Source organism: Homo sapiens, chromosome 8 (assembly GCF_000001405.40).
Source record: "Homo sapiens chromosome 8, GRCh38.p14 Primary Assembly".
Classification (NCBI taxonomy): Eukaryota; Metazoa; Chordata; class Mammalia; order Primates; family Hominidae; genus Homo; species Homo sapiens.
Window position 1 is genome coordinate 22,925,852 of NC_000008.11, and position 21,884 is coordinate 22,947,735.

Below are 21,884 nucleotides of genomic sequence, written 5' to 3' on the forward strand. Positions count from 1 at the left end.
GCCAGCCCCTCAGCTCACTCAGCAGAGCACCTAGAAAATTAGATCCCACTTGTGAGAGGCAACCACGTTTCTCTTCCTCCTTCCACGTGAAAACTTCACCCAGAACTGTTTTCTTGCTTGTTTGTTTTTTTGTTTGTTTTTTGAGACAGAGTCTTGGTCTGTCGCCCAGGCTAGAGTGCAGTGGCGCAATCTCGGCTCACTGCAACCTCCACCTCCCAGATTCAAGGGATTCTCCTGCCTCAGCCTCCTGAGTAGCTGGGATTACAGGTGTGCGCCACCATGCCCGGCTAATTTTTTTTTATTTTTAGTAGAGACAGGGTTTCACCGTGTTGGTCAGGCTGGTCTCAAACTCCTGACCTTGTTATCTGCCTGCCTCAGTCTCCCAAAGTCTTGGGATTACAGGTGTGAGCCACCGTGCCCAGCCTACACCCAGAACTATTTAACAAGATTTTTCAAAATATACTGACACGAACAAAGTTTGTTACTTTTTGTTGTTGTTGTTGTTGTTGTTTAGGCAGGGTCTGGCTCTGTTGCCCAGGCTGGAATGCAGTGGCGCAATCATGGCTCAGACCAGCCTTGACCTCCTGGGTTTAAGCGATCCTCCCACCTCAACCTCTTGAGTAGCTGGGACGACAGGTGTGCATCAGCATGCTTGGCTAGTTTTTAAACTGTTTTGTAGAGAAAAGAGTCTCTCTATGTTGCCCAGGCTGGTCTCAAACCCCTGGGCTCAAGTGATCCTCCACCTTGGCCTCCCAAAGTGCTGGGATTACACATGTGAGCCACTTCACCCAACAAAAATGTTACTTTTTAAGAAGGATTCAACTACATAATTTTAAGAGAAGACATGTATTTATGGTTCTAAAAGTAATGTTTGTCAAAAATGTTTTAAATAAAATTAAAAAGAAAAACAAACATTTTCATGAACAGTAATGTTTGTGAAAATTCAAAGGTACAGAAGAGAGTAAGTAGTCAAAGTTCTTTTTCCTCCTCTCTCATTTCTCACACGTGGGCTCAGTGGGGTGTCCCCCTCCTCAGCCACCAAACTGGCAGGGAGGTTTGGCATCAGTTTGGCCTGGGGAGTCCTCAGGATGACCCACAAGTCCACACAAATGAAGGCTTGCTTTTCTAACCGGCAGAGTTGGTGAGGAGAGAGCCGAACGCCAGGCTTTCCAGCTTACCCAAAGTAGAAGCAGCTTGTGCCCTTGGAAGGGAAGAAGCCAGCCTCGTCACCCAACTCCATCCAGTGCCATGATCCCTAAAGGGCCCTGCACAAACGCTCCTGGGTCCTATCACTGACAAAAACCTCTCACACAGGAAGGGTCTAATCATACACCTTCTTTCATTCAAATGCCTCTTTGTTGGGGTTCTGGGGAGAGGGGGCATTCAGGCTGCAGGGAGGGATGGTCTCTCTCTGGGTCTCTCTCTGAGGGTCTCAGCCTCCTGCCCCCACAAAGACCCCCCAGGTTTGGAGGGCCCAAGCAGAGCCGACCACATACACAGCCCTCCTGGTCCTGGGAGAGGTGCATTCTGGAAGGCAGGAAGGAGTCTGTTTCTAAATCCCTTTCTCAGTGCCATCCTCCATCAAGGTGGTCTCCAGATCTGACACGTGTTCTGCCTTCCCATAAAATCAGGCTCAGGAGATGGTGCTTCTTGGTTCTGGATATACCCCTCCCTGCCATCTACCTGCCTGGTAGCCTCTGTGCCTCCCGCCTCCAAGCCTGCCCTGACTTACTGGCAAAAGAGGGTGTCCTCGTCCAAGAGGGCCTCATGGGCACACGGGCTGTTCTCATCCTCGTCTCCAGTGACCACCATCATGAGACCCAGTAACAGTGCTGCTGTGACCAGCCTCATTGTCCAACCCATGGGCACCTGGAACAGAAAGAACTTTAGAGCGGCTGGATCCCCTGCAGGGGCCTTCCTGCCCACTACCTGTGCCCCCGACCCCAGGGGCCCACTTGGCAGGATAGAGACCTCTGGTTAAGCACAGGGAGAAGGACAGGCAGCTTCCAGGGCTCCGCAGCTAATCCAGTCCACCACCCGGACACAAGTACTTTGGGAGGACTGGGCCTCTTCCAAGTTGGACTCAATGTACGTTCCTGGCAGAGGCCCCTCCCCTGGCAGGACACAGCTTTGTTGTCACTCTTGTCCTGGCTGCCAGGGCAGAGAGCAGGCTGCAAAGTAGAAGTGCTTATATAAGCTCCTCGGTGCAGCTCCTTGTCCAGTCCCTGCTGTTGGCCCAGGGATGGTCAGCTGGCCAAAGGCCAGCCTGCTCCTTGGCTGTAAGGCAAGCCCTGGGAAGCTGGTGACCCCAGGCTCAGGGCTAGGAGTTGGGCTGTGCCCCTCAGACCGGCTCTGACTCTCCTGGCCCCCATTCTTCCACCACCTGTCTCCACAGCCTGTGAGCTTCCCCAAGGTGGAGGTGGTTGGACACAGTGACCTTGTGTAGGAGGGACTGCTGCAGGGGGTGGGGGTAGGTGCACCCCAGACCGAGGCCAGCTCCGAAGGGCCAGCTCCGAAGGGCCAGCTGAGGACAGAAGGGTGCGTCTGGGTGCACCTTGCAGCTGTGCTGCACTCAGCACTCTCCCAAAATAATCGTATCTGGAGAAGGAGGTCTGGGGAGCTGCTTGGGGCTCAGAAAGGGGTGGCCTGCCCCAGCAGTGCACTGGGAGGAAGGGGAGCCGGGGACTGTCGCCTGCATTCCCTTGGGGAACAGTCCTGCCACCAGGTGCATGTGGGACTCTGGTTTGAGCCTGAGTGGGCAGGGAGAAGAATAAAGGCGGCTTGCAACAGGCTTTCCAATAGCTCTGCTCTCTGCTTCTCAGAGGCGGGGGTGGGAGAGACGTGCCAGCAACTCAGGACTCCTGGCTTCTGCTCTGAGCTCTCTCTGGATGCTGGGAGGCCACTGTGTCTCCCTAGAATGCACCACTTTTCCTTTTCACAAACAAGTAAAATAATTCCTGTCACCGTGGTGCCTTGCTAAGGAATATGAGATCATCGCTGTAAAGTACACGCAGCTAGACCTTTAGAGAAACTACTTTCAGCATAGTCTGCTTTCTGGCTCAATTCCTGCCTCCAGGATCCCAACCTGTAGCAAAAAGCCCCCCTTAGGGGCTACATATTAAACACATTTCTCAATCATTAGGTTCTCTGAAGTACAACCAGGACTCCCCCTTGCCCCAACCAGAAAACATATTCCCAAGATCTCCCCTAGTGGACAGAGTCTAATAGTAGCCTCCTCACAAGATCATTATGAGAATGAAATCAACCAGGTTAAGCCCTCAGTAAGGTGCCTGGCACATAGTAAATGCTCAATAATTTATGAATAGTCTAAGTATTCTCTCACGGATCCATCCATTCATTCATTCCTTTGCAACCCACTTCACTCATAGGCATTAAGCACCTCCCACGTGCCTGCCCCATGTTGGGCCCTGGGGTATAGGTTGAGCATGCAGCTCACAGGACAGCCACAGCCAAGGAGATGCTGCCAGAAGGGCTGCCCAAGACCAAGAAACTCATCTTCCAAATGGCATCCACTAGAGAAGTCTCAACTTTTCTGGGTGTCAACTCCTTTAGCACAGTGATGGCGGCCTGGAAGAAGGGAGAGCCCACAGTGCAGGTTGCTGCTGTTGAGCCCACTTCCAGTGGCGGTTCTTCCTTACTCCACGTGCCAGGCACTTTTATCTCCGAATCCTCATGCCAATCCTTGGAAATAGGCACTATTATCACCCCATCTTATGGAGGAGGAGACAGCACAGTGACATTAGTTAAAACCTGATCTTGGTCACCAAGAAGTGGCAGACCTGGAATTTGAACCCCAGGCTCTGGTTGAACCTGTGGAAACTGGGTTGAGTCCATTGAGTCCATGCTTTGTTTTGAGACAGGGTCTCACTCTCATCGCCCAGGCTGGAGTGCAATGGGGTGATGCTGGCTCCTGCAACCTCCGCCTTCTGGGCTTCAAGGGATTCTCCTGCCACAGCCTCTCAAGTAGCTGGGAGTACAGGCACACCACGGCTCTGGCTAATTTTTGTATTTTTTGTAGAGACGGGGTCTTGCATTGTTGCCCAGGCTGGTCTCGAACTCCTGGGCTCAAGTAATCCACCTGTGTGCTCCCAAAGTGCTGGGATTACAGGCGTGAGCCACCGCGCCCAGCCCAGAGTCCACGCTCTTAACCACCTGGCTCCACTGCACTCTGTAGCTGCTCCATTGCCTCTCACTCACTCCCTCTACATTCCCTTTGCTCTTGGGAGAAGGACCCAGAGTCCTTCACGTGGACCACAATACCCTGCGAGATCAGGCTTTTCCTGTCTCTCTAGCTGACTTCCTCTTCCTCTCACATGTTACCTCTGGCGGGTTCCTCAAGCTCCTTTCTATGCCAGGGCTGTGATAGGCACTGACCCTGCTTCCCACCTTCATTAGGGGGGTAGCTGAAATGTCGTTTCCTAAGAGAAACTTGCTCTTTCCCCTAGGGTCCATCAGATTCCTGTTATAAACAATTAGAGCACTTTACTGCTTTCTTCATTATTCTCATATAGTTGTAATAAATTATTTTATAGTTATTTGCTTAGTGATAGTATCTCCTCATCCCCCCAGCCTATAAGCTTCTCGGAGGCAGCACGGAGACTGTCCAGCATTCTGAGCATCTTACATGGAGTATATAGAAGCTTAATAAAATTCTTGTTTAAGTGCATGACACACGCCACTTCCGTTTCTGATCATCCTCATTTTCACTTAACAGGTCTTAACTCTGTACAAACATCAGTAGGAAACTAATCACTCAGGTTGGCCCTTAGCCCTGGATGCCTTTTGCTTATTTATCTAACCTTCTCTGGCTTGTTTTTGTGCAGAGAGATCTGGCAGAATGCAGTGGTTCTCGGGATTTTTCAAACCTGATCTTTCTCTTGGGGATTTTCAGGACTTTGATTCATACTTGAAACCTAAGATCTGAAAGCCGTGTTCAAGCTTGCGGAGTGACAATTCTCCCTCCCCATCACCACCCCGGCTCCTGGAAAGTCCCATTGCTAGATTTCTTGGTGCCCACCCTTGAAGTCCCCCTCTCTTCCTTCAGTTACCTGGGCTGGGACCACCTCCAGACACCACCATTCAAGCCAAACCTGTGGCTTCCTGAGACACATTGGTCCCTCCAGCTACTGGGATCTGTTGGACCACTGCTGCTGAAACTCTTCACTCCCTTCTTATCCCTCCAGGCCTCCTGTGCCTGACACCCTCCAATCACTGCCTAGGCCTCACTTCATTTCTCTACCCAGACACAGACTCTTGTTATTTCTCTCCCTCCTAAACCTTTCCACATAGGCCCTCTGGAATCTCTGAACTGTAGTGAACAAATTCCCCTGAATTCTTTTCATTGATTCCTAATTAAAAATTAATTGAGATATAATTCACACATAAAATTCACCCTTTTAATATATATAATCCAGTGAGTTTTCGTATGTTCACAAGCTTGTGCAACCATCACTACCAAAGTACAGAGCATTTTCATCAACCTAAAAGAAGTCCTGTACTTATTAGCAGTAACACCCCATTCCTCCCTACCCCCAGCCCCTGACAACCCTAATCTATTTTCCGTCTCTATGAATTTGCCTATTTTGGATGCCTCTACCAACATTTTCCCCTCCCTCTTTTCCAGCCTCCCTTCCCATGACCACTTTCTTGGACATTTTCATCACTACAAATTGCTCCATCCCTAAAATATTAAATTCAAGCAGTTTTTTTTGTTTGTTTTTGTTTTTGTTTTTAGGTGGAGTCTCGCTGTCACCGGGGCTGGAATGCAGTGGCATGATCTCAGCTCACTGCTGCCTCCGCCTCCTAGGTTCAAGTGATTCTCCTGCCTCAGCCTTCCAAGTAGCTGGGATTACAGGCACGCACCACTATGCCCAGCTAATTTCAAGCAGCTCTTCTGATCACCATCTCTTCTCCTTCCTCTACCCTCTTGTTACTTCTCTGCACTTAGTCTTTCATTTGATTCTAAACTCTGGTCCCTCGACCACTCTCCTTTTTCCTTACCTATTCTGACTACCTTCCCTCTGGTACCTGGGTCTTACAAACCTTTGTACTATTCACTTGCTAACATCTTCAATTTCTTCGCCCTTATCTTCGCATTGCAGCTGTTGGATGCAACTTCAAATTTGGAACAGTCCAGTAATCTGGCTACTCCGTCATGCAATCCTGCTCCCACTCTACTCTCAGTATCCTGTGCCTTCTACAGAGCCCAGGGTGGGGCCCAGGAGCCATGGGGGAAAACACTGTGCTAAGTGAAAGCAGCCAGTCGCAAAAGAGGACATATTGTATGATTCCATTTATATGAAATGTCCAGAATAGGCAAATACACAGGGACAGAAAGTAGACTAGTGGTTGCTAAGGCTGGAGGTGGAGGTGGGATAAGACGTGAATGAGAGGTATGGGGATGATAGCTAAAGGGTATGAGGTTTCTTTTAAAGGTGATGAAAATGTTCTGAAATTGCCTATGTGATGGTTGCACATATCTATACATATACTAAAAACCACTGAATTATACACTTCAAAATTTATGAATTGTGAGATAAGTGGAGCATATAGCAATAAAGCTGTTTAAAAAAAGTCATCCTGGGGATGTCAGCAAAATGGATGATTAGGAAGCTCCAAGCTCTTGTTCCCTCATGGAAAGCTAAACACACATATACACACACACACACACCCCCAGAGAGACAGAGAATTGGATGAACTAACTTTATAGAAGCTCTGGAAAACAGCCAAAGGTTAGAGCAGCCAAGTAAATGCCTAATCAAGGAAAGCCTCCTTAACTGCACCCTGGGTGAGAGAAGGAGACCCTGTCTCAAAAAATTTTTAAAAGCCTCCTTCAAAATAATAGGAATTTTTCCAGACACGGTGGCTCATGCCTGTAATCCCAGTACTTTGGGAAGCTGAGATGGGCAGATCATCTGAGGTCAGGAGTTCAAGACCAGCCTGTCCAACATGGTGAAACCCCATCTCTACTAAAAATACAAAAATTAGCCAGGCATGGTGACAGGCACCTGTAATCCCAGCTATTTGGGAGGCTAAGGCAGAAGAATCACTTGAACCCAGGAGGCGGAGATTGCAGTGAGCCAAGATCGTACTACTGCACTCTAGCCTGGGCAACAGAGCAAGACTCCGTCTCCAAAAAAAAAAAAAAAGGTTGGAAATTTCATTTTCTTTCTACCTTGTTCCACCTCCACTGCCAGCAGTATTGGTCTGGAGGAGATAGTAGCTCAAGCCCCAGCTCTTCCTTAAACTCAAAGAAGGAGAGCCAGACCCATCATGTGCAATGCTCTAATCTGTCTGGGGTCCACTTGCAGGAGTAGTCTCTGCTTTGCCTAAGGGAAAAGGGGAAGCATTGCTTATGAAACCAGCAGACCGACTACAGACCTTCAGACACTGAAGACAAAGATTACAGTTGAGACATACAACAGACCATCTAAAGCCCCAAGAAGCTCAAGGAATTTCAAGTAAAATAAACTCAAAGAGACCTACGCTGAGACATATTAGAATCAAACTGTTGGAAGCCAAAGACAAAGAGAGAATTTTGAAAGCAATAAGAGAGAAGACTCATCATGTATAGGGATCCTCAATAAAATTATCAGCCAATTTATCAGCAGAAACTTTGAAGCCCAGGGGGCATTGGGATGATATAAAGTACTGAAAGAAGAAAAGTTGTCAATTAAGAATTCTATGTCCAGCAAAAGTATCTTCCAAAATATTAGTAAGAGAGAAATTAAGAAAGTCCCAGATAAACAAAAGCTTAGGGAGTTGATTACCACCAGCACTGCCCTGCAAGAAATGCTGAAAGTAGATCTTCAGGTTGAAATGAAAAGATGACAGTAAGCTGAAACTAGGTGAAGAAATATATCAAGATCTTTGTTTGAGGTAAACACACAGCAAATTAAAAAGCCAGTATTGTTGGAATTTTGGTTTGTAATTCCACTTTTAAATACAGGATGTCTTAGTCCATTTAGTGCTGTTATAAATGAATACCTGAGGCTGGATAATTGATAAAGAGGTTTATTTGGCTCACAATTCTGCTGGCCGGAAGACTGGGCATCTGGTAAAAGCCTCAGCCTTTTCCCACTCATTTTAGAAGGGAAAGGGAAGCTGGAGTGTGCAGAAATCACACAGTGAAATAGAAAGCAGGAATGAGAAATGGGAGGTGCCAGGCTCTTTTTAACAACCAGTTCTCATGGAACTAATAAAGTGAGAATGCACTCCCCTGGAACTGCATTCTATTCATGAAAGGTCTGCCCCCAAGATGCAAACACCACCCATTGGGCCCCACCTCCAATATTGGGGATCAAATTTCAACATGAGTTTTGCGGGGCACAAATATCTAAATTATAGCACAGGATTTAAAGACAATGAATAAAATAATTATAAATCTTTGTTAGTGGGTATATAATAATGTAAACTCTAACATCGGTAACACAAAATGGGGGGCACGGAGCTGTATAAGTAAAATGTTTGTATGCAATTGAAGTTAAGTTAGTATCAATTCAAATTAGATCATTATAACTTTAGGATGTTATATGTAATTCCCATGGTAACCACAAAATGTATTTATAGAATATACACAAAAGGAAATGAGAAGTGAATAAAACATGTCACTACAAAAAAAATCAACTAAATGTAAAGAAAGGTAGAAATGGAGGAAATGAGGAACACAAAAAGCTGAAAAGCAGCCAGATGCAGTGGCACATGCCTGTAGTTCCAGCTGCTTGGGAGGCTGAGGTGAGAGGATCACTTGAGCCTAGGAGTTTGAGGCCAGCCTGGGCCACATAGTGAGACCCCATCTCTTAAGAATGCAAGCAAGCAAGCAAGCAAGAAGAGCTAAAACATACAGAAAACAAATAACAAAATGGCAAAATAAGTCATTGAGTCATTGTCTATCAGTAAATGGATTTAAATTTAAATTTAATTGGGTTCAATGCCTCAGTCAAAAGTTATAAACTGGCAGATTAGATTTTTTAAAAATGATTCAATTATATACTGTCCACAATAGACTTGCTTTAGCTCTAAGGACACAAATAGATTGAAAGAGAAAGGATTTAAAAAGATGTACACAGTAACGAAAAGAGAACAGGGATGGCTATATTAATATCAGACAAAACAGATTTTAAAGTCTAGTTCTACAAGAGAAAAAGAAGGGCATTGTATATTGATAAGAATCAATTCATCAAGAAGATATAACAGTTATAAACCTATATGCACCAAACATCAGGGATCCAAAATATATAAGCATACAAGGATAGAATTGAAGGGAAAAATAGGTAGCTTAACAACAGTAATTGGAAATTTCAGTACTCCACTTTTAATAGTGAATAGAACAACTAGGCAGAAGACCAATTAAAGAAATGGGAGACTGGCTGGGCATGGTGGCTCACACCTGTCATCCCAGCACTTTGGGAAGCCGAGGTGGGTGGATCACTTGAGGTCAGGAGTTCAAGACCAGCCTGGCCAACATGGAGAAACCATGTCTCTACTAAAAATACAAAAATTAGCTGGGCATGGTGGCAGGCACCTGTAGTCCCATCCCAGCTACTTGGGAGGCTGAGGCAGGAGAATTGCTTGAACCCAGGAGGCAGAGGTTGCAGTGAGCTGAGATCGCTCCACTGCAGTCCAGCCTGGGCAGCAGAGTGAGACTGTCTCAAAAACAAAAAACACAATACATCCCTAAGCCAAAAATTGGAATTCTGAAATGCTTCAAGATTTAAAACTTTGAAGGCCTATGGAATACTACAAGTGAAAAAATCCTACACCTGACCTCATGTGATGGGTCACAGTCAAAACTTTGTTTTATGCACAACATTATTAATAATATTGTATAAAACTATCTTTAGGCTGTGTATAAGGTATATATAAACATAAATAAATTTCATGTTTAGACTTAGGTCCCATCTCCAAAATATCTCATATATGCAAATATTCTAAAATCTGAAAAATTTGAAATTTGAAATACTTCTTGTCCCAAGTGTTTTCGATAAGGGAAACAACTGGTATACCAAGATGTATGGGATGCAGTGAAAGCTGTACATGCTGTAAAATAGCTATAAAAGCTTACATTGAGAAGTTGTAAATGCTTATATTAAAAAAGAAGGAGGATCTCAAATCAACAACCTAAATTTACACCTTAAGGAGCTAGGGAAAAAAAAAAAAAAGAACAAGATAACCCAAAGCTAGCAGAAAGAAAGAAATACTAAAGATTGCAACAGACATAAAATAGAGAACAGAAAAACAGAAAATCAACAAAACCAAAAGTTGGTTCTTTGAAAAACATCAGTAAAATTGACACTATCAGCCAGATTAATTAAAAAACAGAGAAGACTCAAATTACTAAAATAAGAAATGAAGTGAGGAGATTACTCTAAAATTTATAAAAATAAAAATATAAATAATATTTTACAGAAATAAAAAGGGTGATAAGAGATTAATATAAACAATGGGTAAGGTTGTTGGTTATGTAATAAATTTGATAACCCAGATGAAATGGACAAATTCCTGGAAACATAAAACCTACCAAGACTGAATCATAAAGAGATGGAAAGCCTGAATAGATCCACAACTAGTAAGAAGATTGAAGCAGTAATCAAAAATGCCCCAGTGAAGAAAAGTTCTGAACCAGATAGTTTTACTGGTGATTTCTACCAAACATTTAAAGAAGAATGAACACTCATCCTTCTCAAACTCTTCCAAAACATTGGAGAGAATACTCCCTGACTCACTCTGTGAAGCCAGCGTTACTATGATACCAAAGCCAATTTTCTAACCAAAGTTAGAAAAGAAAACCACAAAGCAATATCCCTTAGAAACTCTGATGCAAAAGTCCCCAACAAAATATTAGCATAGATAATTCAACAGTACACCGATAGGATTATACAGCATAACCAAGTGAGATTTATTTCTGGAATGCAAGCATGATTCAACATATAAAAACCAATCAACATAATACCGCCACATTAATAGAATGAAGGAAAAATACTACATGGTCATCTCAATTGATGCAAAAAAAGCATTTGACAAAACTCAACACACTTCCATGATAAAAACAAACTAGGAAGGGAAAGAAGCTTCCTCGATATGATAAAGGCCATATACAAAAAGCCCACAGATAACAACATACTCAATGGTGACAGACTTCAAGTTTTCCTCTAAGATCAGGAACAAAACAAGGATGTATGCATTTGCCACTCTTATTCAACATATATAGAAAGTTCTAGCCAGAGCAATTATGCAAGAAAAGAAATAAAAGGCATCCAAATTAGAAAGGAAGAAGTACAATTATCTGTTTGCAGATGACAATCTTACATATAGAAAACTCTAATTTTTTAAAAAAGAAAAACTGTTAGAGCTAATAAGCAAATTCAGTAAAGTTGTAATTTACAAAATCAACAAACAAAAATCAAATGCATTTCTTTGCTCTAAAAACGAAGAATTCAAATAGGAAATTAGGAAAACAACTCTGTTTATGATTACATAAAGCAGAATAAACTAGGAATAAACTTAACCAAGGAGGTGAAAGACTTGCACACTGAAACTACAAAATTTTGCTAAAATAAATTAAAGAAGAGATAAATGTAAAGACATTCAATGCTCATGGAGTGGAAGACTTAATATTGTTAAAATGACAAAGTTACTCAAAGTGACCTACAGATTAATTGCAACTCCTATGAAAATGTCAATTTTTTTTTACAGAAATAGAAAAACCCATCCTAAAATTTATATATAATCTTGTGGGACCCCAAATAGTCAAAACAGTCTTGAAAAGAAAACATAGTTGAAGGACTCGTACTTTCTGATTACAAAACTTACTACAAAGCTACAGTAATCCAAATAGTTTGGTACTGGCATAAAGACAGATAAATAGGCCAACGGAATAGACTAGAGAGCCCAGAAATAAACCCTCATATGTGTGTATGTGTATGTATGTGTGTGTGTGTGTGTGTGTGTGTGTTCAAATGATTTTCAGCAAGGGTGCTGAAAATGATTCTGGGACAAGTGGATAGCCACATGCAAAAGAATGAAGGTGGATCCTTGCTTTACACCAGATATAAAAATTAACTCAAAATGGATCAAGATCTAAATGTAAGAGCTGAAACCACAAAACTCTTAGAATAAAACACAGGGGAAAATCTTCATGACATTGGATTTGGCATTGATTTACATAGGACACCAAAAGCGGAGGCAGCAAAAGTAGACTGACAAATTGAACTCCATGAAAATGGAAAACTTTTGGGCATCAAAGGACACTATCAAGACAGTGAAGAGACAACCTGCAGAATGAGAGAAAAAAAAAATCCCAGGAACTGGTGTTCTCTAGAACCCCCTTCGACAACACTGGCCACTCCGTCCTCTTCACTGTGTAGACCTCTTGTTCAGCCTGTGTGGACTACTCTCTGTCTTCCCAATCAGCTGTGCTCTCTCCCACCTCTAGGCCTTTTTGCACAAACCATTCTGTCTGTAACGGACACCTTTGTCTCCTGCCCCATGACCCACCTGGCTTACTTTTGCTCACCTTCATGTGCTATTTAAACATCACTTCCTTTAGGGTACCTTCCTGGGTATCTTGTCATATCTGCAGACAGCATCTGCAGTACTTCCACCAGGACAGTATAATAGTATCTGGCCATTTTTGTTTATTTACTTGTATTTCTCTGTCACTAGGCTGTTACCTTCATGGAGGAGGGACCCCATGTAGCCTAAGAATTGCTGTGTCTGCCACCAGTACAGTGCCTGGGACCAGCAGGTGCTCCATTACCCCTCGGGGATTGGGAAAGGGAGAAAATCAGAGAGGGAGGGGTGGATATTGAATTCCTAAAGGTCACACTTCCCCCCCATTATAGATGTGGGTCTCACTGAAGCTCCAGGAGCAGAGCTGCTCCTCCCACCTCCCATTCATTGATTTCTGCCTTCTGCTCTAGTTTTCTGTGCACGTACTTCATTCTGTGAGGGCCCCATTTGTCTCTGCATTCCCCACAGCACTATGAACATAGCAGATGCTTAATAAATCGTTACATAAATAAGCACGCACATATAAAAACCGTATGCTGTAAAGGAACTATTCTGACCTTTGGTTGTCCTACTTAGAGACAGAGAAAGAATTCCAAAGTCACCCAACATGCACTTGGGCCATCTTTTGTTATCAACTCTTTGTTGCTTTTTATGTACCTTTCATTTCAGATGACCAATTTGAAAATTGTCTTGAAATGTAAAAGTATAAAAATATAATTTCTTTTGTTTTTTTCTCAGGGAGTGGGGCTTACTTCTAAATGAACAATAAGAATTACATCAAACTTCCCATCAGAAACCAGGCAAGCAACAAGAGAATGGAGTGAAATATTTTAAAAAGTGTTAAAACTTCCATCAACCTAGAATCTGTATCCAGGGGAATTTTTCTTCAAAGGTGGAGAGGATATGAAGACAAAGAAAAACTGAGAGAAGATTTTGCCCTTACACCTGCCTTGCATGAAATGTTAAAAGAAGCCCTTCAATGAAAAGGAAAATGAAATCTTGGCTCTACATAAAGGAAGAACAATGAAGATGGACTAAATGGAAGTAAAGGAAAATATTTTACCTTTATTATTCTTAATTGGCCTTATAGATAACTGTTTGTTTAAAATAGTTAAGAACAAGAATGTCTCAAGTGATTATGGCTTATTGTTAAGTTCATGAATGCTAGCAATGTCTAAGAAATGGGAGGAAGGAATGAGGAATGCTCTGTTACAGGGTATCTGCACTTGCTGTTGTTTTAAGAGATGTTCGCTTTCCTTCTACCAAGCAGAAGGCAGAGGAATTCATGGTGGCAATGATGGGGCTGGCAAAGAGAGCTCCAGGGCTGGATTTTCCCAACAATTTTATTACCCAGGAGTCAGGAGAGTGTCTGTGAGATAAACCCAGCTCTGACCCCTTCCCTCACCCCTCCATTTATCCAAAGGTCCTGCTAGACCTCGGGCCAGAGGCTGGGGGCCAGGACCTTCCCACTCCAGGGACACAAATTCTTCTTTTAGGTAGCCCCAGCTTGTTGGTCTCAGCAATCAACAGTTGACTTAATAAGCCCATTTCATTAACAGATGCACATTGCATCTATTAATGAATCACTTCACCCATGGAATGGCAGGCTCCAGAGGGGCTATGAAATGGTGGTGCCTCAGGCAATCACCTGCCGTCATGTCACCCTTGAAAGGTTGAATGTTTTGTCCATCTGGTGGAGGTGAGAATTGAACTTAAAGCCTAGTGAAGCTATGTATTTACCTTGCCCCTCTTTGCAGGGACAGAGTCAATCTCTGGTTCCCCCTATATTTCTCAGGATGGGAGGAAATGGGGATCCTTCTTCCTATATCATGGAAGGGAGAATGAGGACCTCACAAAGGAAAGAAACTCACTACATCTGTCAGAAGTAAGGCCTGCCTGAAATCAGTGAGGCTCATCGCAGCCCAAAATTCAGGCAGTGAGAAATTCACCAAAGTGGCCTTTCTGAGGAGAATTAGAGAAATGTTTGAGGCTCATAGATAGGCACCTAGAAACGCCATGAAGAAAGTCACAAATAATGCCTCAAATGATGTGCTCAAATCACGCTAGAGTGAAAAAATTGGAAACACCACCTTTACCATGAATTTCTCTTTTTTTTTTTTTTTCGAGACGGAGTCTTGCTCTGTCACCCAGGCTGGAGTGCAGCAGCACAATCATGGCTCACAGCAAGCTCCACCTCCCGGGTTCATGCCATTCTCCTGCATCAGCCTCCCGAGCAGCTGGGACTACAGGTGACCACCACCACGCCTGGTTAATTTTTTTGTATTTTCAGTAGAGACGGGGTTTCACCATGTTAGCCAGGATGGTCTTGATCTCCTGACCTCGTGATCTGCCTGCCTTGGCCTCCCAAAGTGCTGGGATTATAGGCGTGAGCCACCACGGCCAGCCTTTACCACGAATTTCTAATAGCTCCCTAGGCCAAGGTGTTTTTTCTCTCCTCTGTCTCCTCTCTCGTAGCAAATTCCTACCGCACACAAACAGGGAAGAAGAGCCCTTGTCACTTGTCCAGAACAGTGTGGGAGCTGTTGGGTGCTGGCTGTGGGAAGGTACACACCTTGACAGGTTTCTGGCCTGGAGAACGAGGGGAGAAAGTTCCCTCCAGGGTGCCCCTCAGTTTGGGCCCTTAAGGTAATCAGAGCCAGCGGATGTTGAGAGTTTGAGAGGTTCAGTAAGGTTCCTAGAGCCACAGGACAGGAGGGAGCTGTTGGTGGTTGGGGAGACAGTTGGAGAAAGTTCCAGGGGAGTTCCAGGGAGGAGCCGATATGTAGGGCAGGAGAGAATAGGAAAAAAAAGAATGGGTGGGTTTGCCAGCATTCCTCCTTCCAAGGATTCTAAGGAAAAGAGTGGAAACTGCGGAGACAATTCTCTTACCGTTTCTCCTTTCAAGATGCACAGAGAGTCAGGCAGAAGGGACACTAGAGTGCAGGAAAAGAAGGCCGCAGAGACAGGTGCAGAAGGTTGGAGGGAGGAACCACTGAGACCAGCGTCCGTGGAAAGATGTCCAACGTTTGACCACGGAGAGCAACAGGCCCTCAGCCACAGACAGGAGAGATCGGGATTGACAACTATCTTCAGAGCTCCCAGTCTGCGGGCATTGATTGACTGATTAAGGCGGAGTTTCACTCCTGTTGTCCAGGCTGGAGTGCAATGGCTCGATCTGGGCTCACTGCAAGCTGTGCCTCCCGGGTTCAAGCGATTCTCATGCCTCAGCCTCCTGAGAAGCTGGTATTACAGGCACCCACCACCATGCCCAGCTAATTTTTTTTGTAGTTTTAGTAGAGGCGGGGTTTCACCACATTGGCCAGTCTGGTCTCAAACCCCTGACCTCAGGTGATCCACTGGCCCTGGCCTCCCAAAGTGCTGTGATTATAGGTGTGAGCCACCCACCGCACCTGGCCATCACGGGGATTTAGAATCATCCCCTTCCCCAACAAGTGTGGCCTGGAGCCTGCAGAATAATGGAGACCACCACCACCTGGCTCAGACCCAGGTCTTCCAGGCTGGCTCACACTTGGGTAAGGTTCTGCCAATCAGGTAACTAAGCCCAGGGCAAGTACGTGGTTTTCAGGTCCTGGGTTTCCTGCTGTGTTTTAAATGACCACACCTGGAACCATCTCCTTACTTTCTTTCTAGAGAATTCCTCCCAGGAAAATCAACAAATCAATGAGAAGTCAAACACTTACCCAGTAGTTTTGCACAGTAGAGCACCTGAGGAATTCGTGAAAAACACCAATGCCTGGCCCCACCCCAGGTGAATTAGACCAGAATTTCGGAGGGTGAAGCCTAGACATGGAGGGTTTCAAATGCTTCCCAGGTGACTCGCATATGCAGCCAGGCTGGGGAGTCCTTGTATTCAATCTAGATAAATAGCAGGCATGCGGCAGGTGCTGAAGGTGCAAAGATGAACAAGGTGAGGATCCCGCTCTTGATAAACTCACAGCTTAGAAGGGAGATGAGCATCCAAACAAACAAACAGCCAGGTGTGGTGGCTCAAACCTGTAATCCCAACATAATGGGAGGCTGAGGCAGGAGGATTGCTTGAATCAAGGAGTTCAAGACCAGCCTGGGCAACATAGTGAGAACCCCCACCACCCCACCCCCCACCACCCCCACCATCTCTACAAAAAGAAAGAAAGAAAGAAAGAAAAAAATTAGCCATGTGTGGTAGTGCACACCTTGAGGCTGAGGAGGGAGGAATGCTTGAGCCTGGGAGGTAGAGGCTACAGTGAGCCATGTTTGTGCCACTGCACTTCAGCCTAGAGTGAGACTCTGTCTAAAGAAAACAAAACAAAACAAAAAAACACAGAAAACAAAATCACCAACTGTGGGCCGGGTGTAGTGGCTCATGCCTGTAATCCTAACACTTTGGGAGTCCATGGTGGGCGGATCACTTGAGGTCAGGAGTTTGAAACCAGCCTGGCCAACATGGTGAAACCCCGTCTCTGCTAAAACTTCAAAAAAAGTAGCCAGGTGTGGTGGCACACACCTATAATCCCAGCTACTTGGGAGGCTGAGGCAGGGGAATTGCTTGAACCTGGGAGGTGGAGGTTGCAGTGAGCCAAGATCACACCACTGCACTCCAGCCTAGGCAACAGAGTGAGACTCCATCTCAAAAAAAAAACAAAATCACCAACTGTGTGCTGAGTTCAGTCATAGAAGCACTCCCAGATTAAAGAGGAGGGTGCGTTAATCATGTTTTTTAAAAAAATTTTTTTAGAGGATAGGGTCTTACTCTGTTGCCCAGGCTGGAGTGCAGTGGTGCAATCATAGCTCACTTCAGCCTTGACCTCCTGGACTCCAGGGATCTTCCCACACAGCTAGGACTACAGTCCGCACACCACCTTGTCCAGCTAATTTTTAAAATTTTTGTAGAGATGGGAGTCTCACTATGTTACCCAGGCTGGTCTGGAACTCCTGGGCTGAAGCAATCCTCCTGCCTTGGCCTCCCAAAGCACTGGGATTAGAGGTGTGAGCCCTTGTGCCCAGCCAGTCATGTTTTTTTAAATTTTGTTTTGTTTTGTTTGAGACGGAGTTTCACTCTTGTTGCCCAGGCTGGAGTGCAATGGCACGATCTCGGCTCACCGCAACCTCTGCCTCCCGGGTTCAAGTGATTCTCCTGCCTCAACCTCCCAAGTAGCTGGGATTTCAGGCATGTGCCACCACCCCGGCTAATTTTGTATTTTTAGTAGAGACGGGGTTTCTCTATGTTGGTCAGGCTGATCTTGAACTCCCGACCTCAGGTGATCCCCCCCGCCTCGGCCTCCCTAAGTGCTGGGATTACAGGCATGAGCCACTGTGCCTGCCTATGTTTTTAATTTTCTGTATTTTATGATGGTTTGACATCTTGAGGGCCCTGCTGGCCTGGAAGAGACTGTCCCTCCCAGGGCTAGCTAATTCCTAAGATAGTAAATAACTTGCCTGTGAACTTGCCTTTCATGTGCACATCAGCCAATTCATTCCCCAACCCCCAACCACCTCCTTTATCTACTGTCACACCGAGCCAGTATTACCCCTGCCCTAAATCACCCCAGACCAACATCATACAAACCAGCCAATCCTCAACCAGCTCAGCCACCCAACCTGCCCCTTCCTTCTTTCCTTCCCATAGGAAACACAATCAGGGCTCTACTTTGTCCCGGCTCCTCCTGCCTCCTGACCTACCAGCTGCTTCCCCATGTGGCCCTGCATGATATGGTATGCCCCTTCTCTTGGAGACTATAGATAATAAATACTTTCAGTGACATTGGCCTCTTCGTGTTGTCACTTGGTAACCTCTGTCAGTTAAAATCCCACCAATACAATCAAGACAGAAGGTATGATTCTCTTACGGAGTGAGGGTCAGAAAAGGCTTTGCGAGAGGGACAGGAGGAGGTGAGAAGGCACTGGGGCAGAAGGGTGCGGAGGCTGGTGGACAAGGAGCAGGATGTGATTGTTGGAGTACAAAACACAAGGGACCAAGAGAGGTGGGGTGGGGACAGCGTGCAAGTCTTAGGCTGGATCGGGGAACCCTGGGCAGCACGGGATGCCCCCCTTTCGTATTGTCACTCAGCCTTACAACATCTCCAAGAGCTGGATAGAAGACAGGAGACTATTCTACAGATGGGAAACTGGGGCATGCTGAAAAGTTGATTCTTCCTTAAATAAGAGCTGACTTACGCACTTGTCTTCTCTCCAGCAAGTCCTCCTAACTAACCCATTTCTCCGTGTGGGTTTCTGTGAGGTTAACAAGGTCATAGTGGAGAGGCTTCAGGCTGGCACCAACATTCCTGGCCCGAAACTATGGGAAGAGAGCCTATACTGGCAAAACTCCTTTTTAAGAGAGAAGATATGTGCTTTGGGCATGGACCTACCACTGCCAGCTTGTGCCTTAGTCAAGCTTCCTATTCTTTCTATTCCTGTTTCCTCATCTTTAGAGTGGGTGTACTAACCCATGGGCCATGTAGACGAGGAAGGGGAAGGGTGAGCATGGGTGTTTGACACATAGTATGTTTGATTCCATCTTTTCCCTCTTATTTCTTTATTGAGACAGGATCCTGCTGTGCCGCCCAGGCTGGAGTGCAGTGATACGATCACAGCTCACTGCAGCCTTCAACCCTCCAGGCTCAAGCAATCCTCCCACCTCAGCCTCCTGGGTAGCTGGCACTACAGGCACGTGCCAACACACCTGGGTAATTTTTTTGTTTTTTTTTTTTTTGTAAAGACGAGGTTTTGCCATGTTGCCCAGGCTGGTCTCGAACCTCTGGGCTCAAGCAATCCTCTCACCTTGGCCTCTTAAAGTGCTGGGATTACAGGCATCACCCACAGTGCCCAGCCTTATCTTTTCCCTCTTAAACCAAGAAAAATTCTAACTCTGATGAGAACGAAAAGAGAGGGGATCCATCAAAACTGCAAGACAGCAGCTCAGGAGGTGCCAAGGGATGATAGTTCAGTAAGGGCATCTCTTCCAGGCAATCAGTGCCATAAGGGGCTCCTTGGGGCTATTGATCTGCGGAGGAACCACAAGATCTTCTCAGCTAGCCAGTGTCAGCTTCCATCATCTTGTGCTAAATAAGGCCTGTCACTTTCCTGGAGAGCCTCCAGAGAAAACTGCAGGGCAAACAGATGTTGCAATAGGCCCAAGGAGCTCAGATACCGCCCGTCCTGTTTCCTGAGCTTCTCTGTAGAAAGGCAAGGCTGGGGATAGTCTTTTCCATCCCCACTCTCTGCCTCCAGGTCTTTGCTCCACGTGGATGCTTTGTGCCCCTAGGGCTGTTCCAATGACAACAACAGCTTTTATTGACTGAGCACTCACTGTGTGCAAAGGAGCATGTAAGTGCGTGTAACCAGCACTGTTCCATTTCCTCCTCCCACAGCCTTTTGGCATGGGGACTCTTACCCTGCTTTACAGCTGAAGCTTGGTGGGATTGAAAACTTTATCCAAGGTCACACAGCTAGTGAATGGAAGAGCTGGATCCCAACCCAGATCTGCCTGAATCCAAAGCCTGTATGCTTCCTCCCTGCACGAGGGTGTCTTGGGCCACTTGGATTTTCCAGCCTCAGTCCAAAGGCCTGTGGACAACGAACCTTTGTTGTGCGGGCTGTATCTCTTTGATTCAGTTCACCCAAACTGTGACACTTTGGATCTTCCCTCTTTGATACCTCTCCTGTGTCTCATCTTATTAATTCATGCATGCATCTAATCAACAGATTTCCACTGGGGTCCTTTCCAGGCCAGGTGTCGAGTACCTCGGAGGCTGTGTGCTCCCTTCCCACTATACCAGTGTGCAACTAGAAAAAAAAAAAAAGTGGTTTAAGCTGGGTCTAGAACGGAGTTTAGCTGATCCCTTCTGGGAAAGGTGAGTAGAGTAGCTGCCCAGGCAATTTAAATATCCATGGGCCACCTGGGCACGGTGGCGCACATCTATAATCCCAGCAGATTGCCTGAGCTCAGGAGTTCGAGACCAGCCTGGGCATCATGGTGAAACCCCCGTCTCTACTGAAACACAAAAAATTAGCCAGGCATGGCAGCATGCGCCTGTAGTCCTGGCAACCCGGGAGGCGGAGGTTGCAGTGAGCTGAGATCATGCCTCTGCACTCCAGCCTGGGCAACAGTGCGAGACTCCATCTCAATTAAAAAAAAAAAATCCTTGCCTAGCCACGTACAATGCAATGTCCTAAGCTCTGAGGCTTACTGCCACAATAAATGCAACACAATATTCACCTCCACAGTTTAATGGGAAAGACGAACATTTATCTAACCAACACCAAAACAAGACAGCCTGTGATAAGGCTATAACAAAGGGGTAAACTAGTAGGGAAACTTGTGAGAACAGAATTGAGGAAGACTTCACCGTAGAGAAGGTATTTTGCAATGAGTCTTGGAGGCTGTTTACCGTGAGTTCATCCTTTTCTCTGTGAGGGGGACTAGAACTCTTGCATAGAATCCTTCAAGGCCTGTCTGAGTCCCAAGCTCTGACATCTGATTAGGTATTGCTGCAGAGTCTCATTAGAGCGGCCCTGGCTCTGAAGCGCCTCTTCAATGAGTCCTCGCACCAATTGCAGCCTTCGGTTTGAGGGCTGATGGCTGTCACACTGCCCGGTGGAGGAGTGAAGGCAGCCAAGTCATTAAGCCCAAAGCCACCAACAGCAAGTGTGCGCTGGGAGCCGTGAGAGGCTTGGCCCATGTGTCAGAACATTTGCAGACACCGGCCAAGGAATAAAGACTGGGTCTGGGACAAGGCCAGGCTCTTGCTCTTCACCGGGAAAGTCATTTGAGAATTCAGGAAACACAACAGCGGCCTTCCTGGGCCTTCTGACCTTTCTTCCTCTTTACCCTGGCCTTATCCATGATGTTTGCCTACCTGGGAGGGAGCTTTTTCAGGAAGGTAACTGCTAAGGTCAGGGTGGGACGTTGTGGAGCTCACTTTGTCTTTTTTTTTTTTTTTTTTTTTTTTTTTTTTAGACACACTCTCACTCTGTCGCCCAGGCTGGAGTATAGTGGTGTGATCTCGGCTCACTACAACCTCCACCTCTGCAACCTCCACTCCGGGTTTCAAGCCATTCTTGTACCTCAGCCTCCGGAGTAGCTAGGTTTACAGGTGCCTGCCACCATGCCCAGATAATTTTTGTATTTTTAGTAAAGATGGGATTTCGCCATGTGGTCAAGCTGATCTCCAACGCCTGACCTCAAGTGATCCACCCGCCTCAGCCTTTCAAAGTGCTGGGATTACAGGCATGAGCCACCATGCCTGGCCGACTGTTTTCTTTTTATATGTAGCAATCATCTCCCAAAGCAATGCCAGATGGGTGCGGGTGGAAGGGTTGAGGGAAGCCTAGTCCTCTGTAGCTCCAGAGGG

General features: G+C 45.8%; 1 protein-coding gene across 3 annotated transcripts in view; it reads right to left on the bottom strand.

Moving 5' to 3' along the window:
• Positions 1-15,226, bottom strand: part of PEBP4 (phosphatidylethanolamine binding protein 4) — a 227,827-nt gene extending 212,601 nt beyond the window's left edge. For 2 of the 3 annotated variants that reach the window (NM_144962.3, XM_017013103.2), the window contains exons 1-2: positions 1,972-2,063; positions 1,733-1,869 (exon numbers count right to left, since the gene is read on the bottom strand). In NM_144962.3, coding sequence (NP_659399.2) covers positions 1,733-1,863 — 131 coding nt within the window. In that variant the 5' untranslated portion in view covers positions 1,864-1,869; positions 1,972-2,063. Of the gene's footprint in view, positions 1-1,732; positions 1,870-1,971; positions 2,064-15,103 lie in introns of those variants that run through there. The other variant, NM_001363233.2, reaches the window with a different exon arrangement.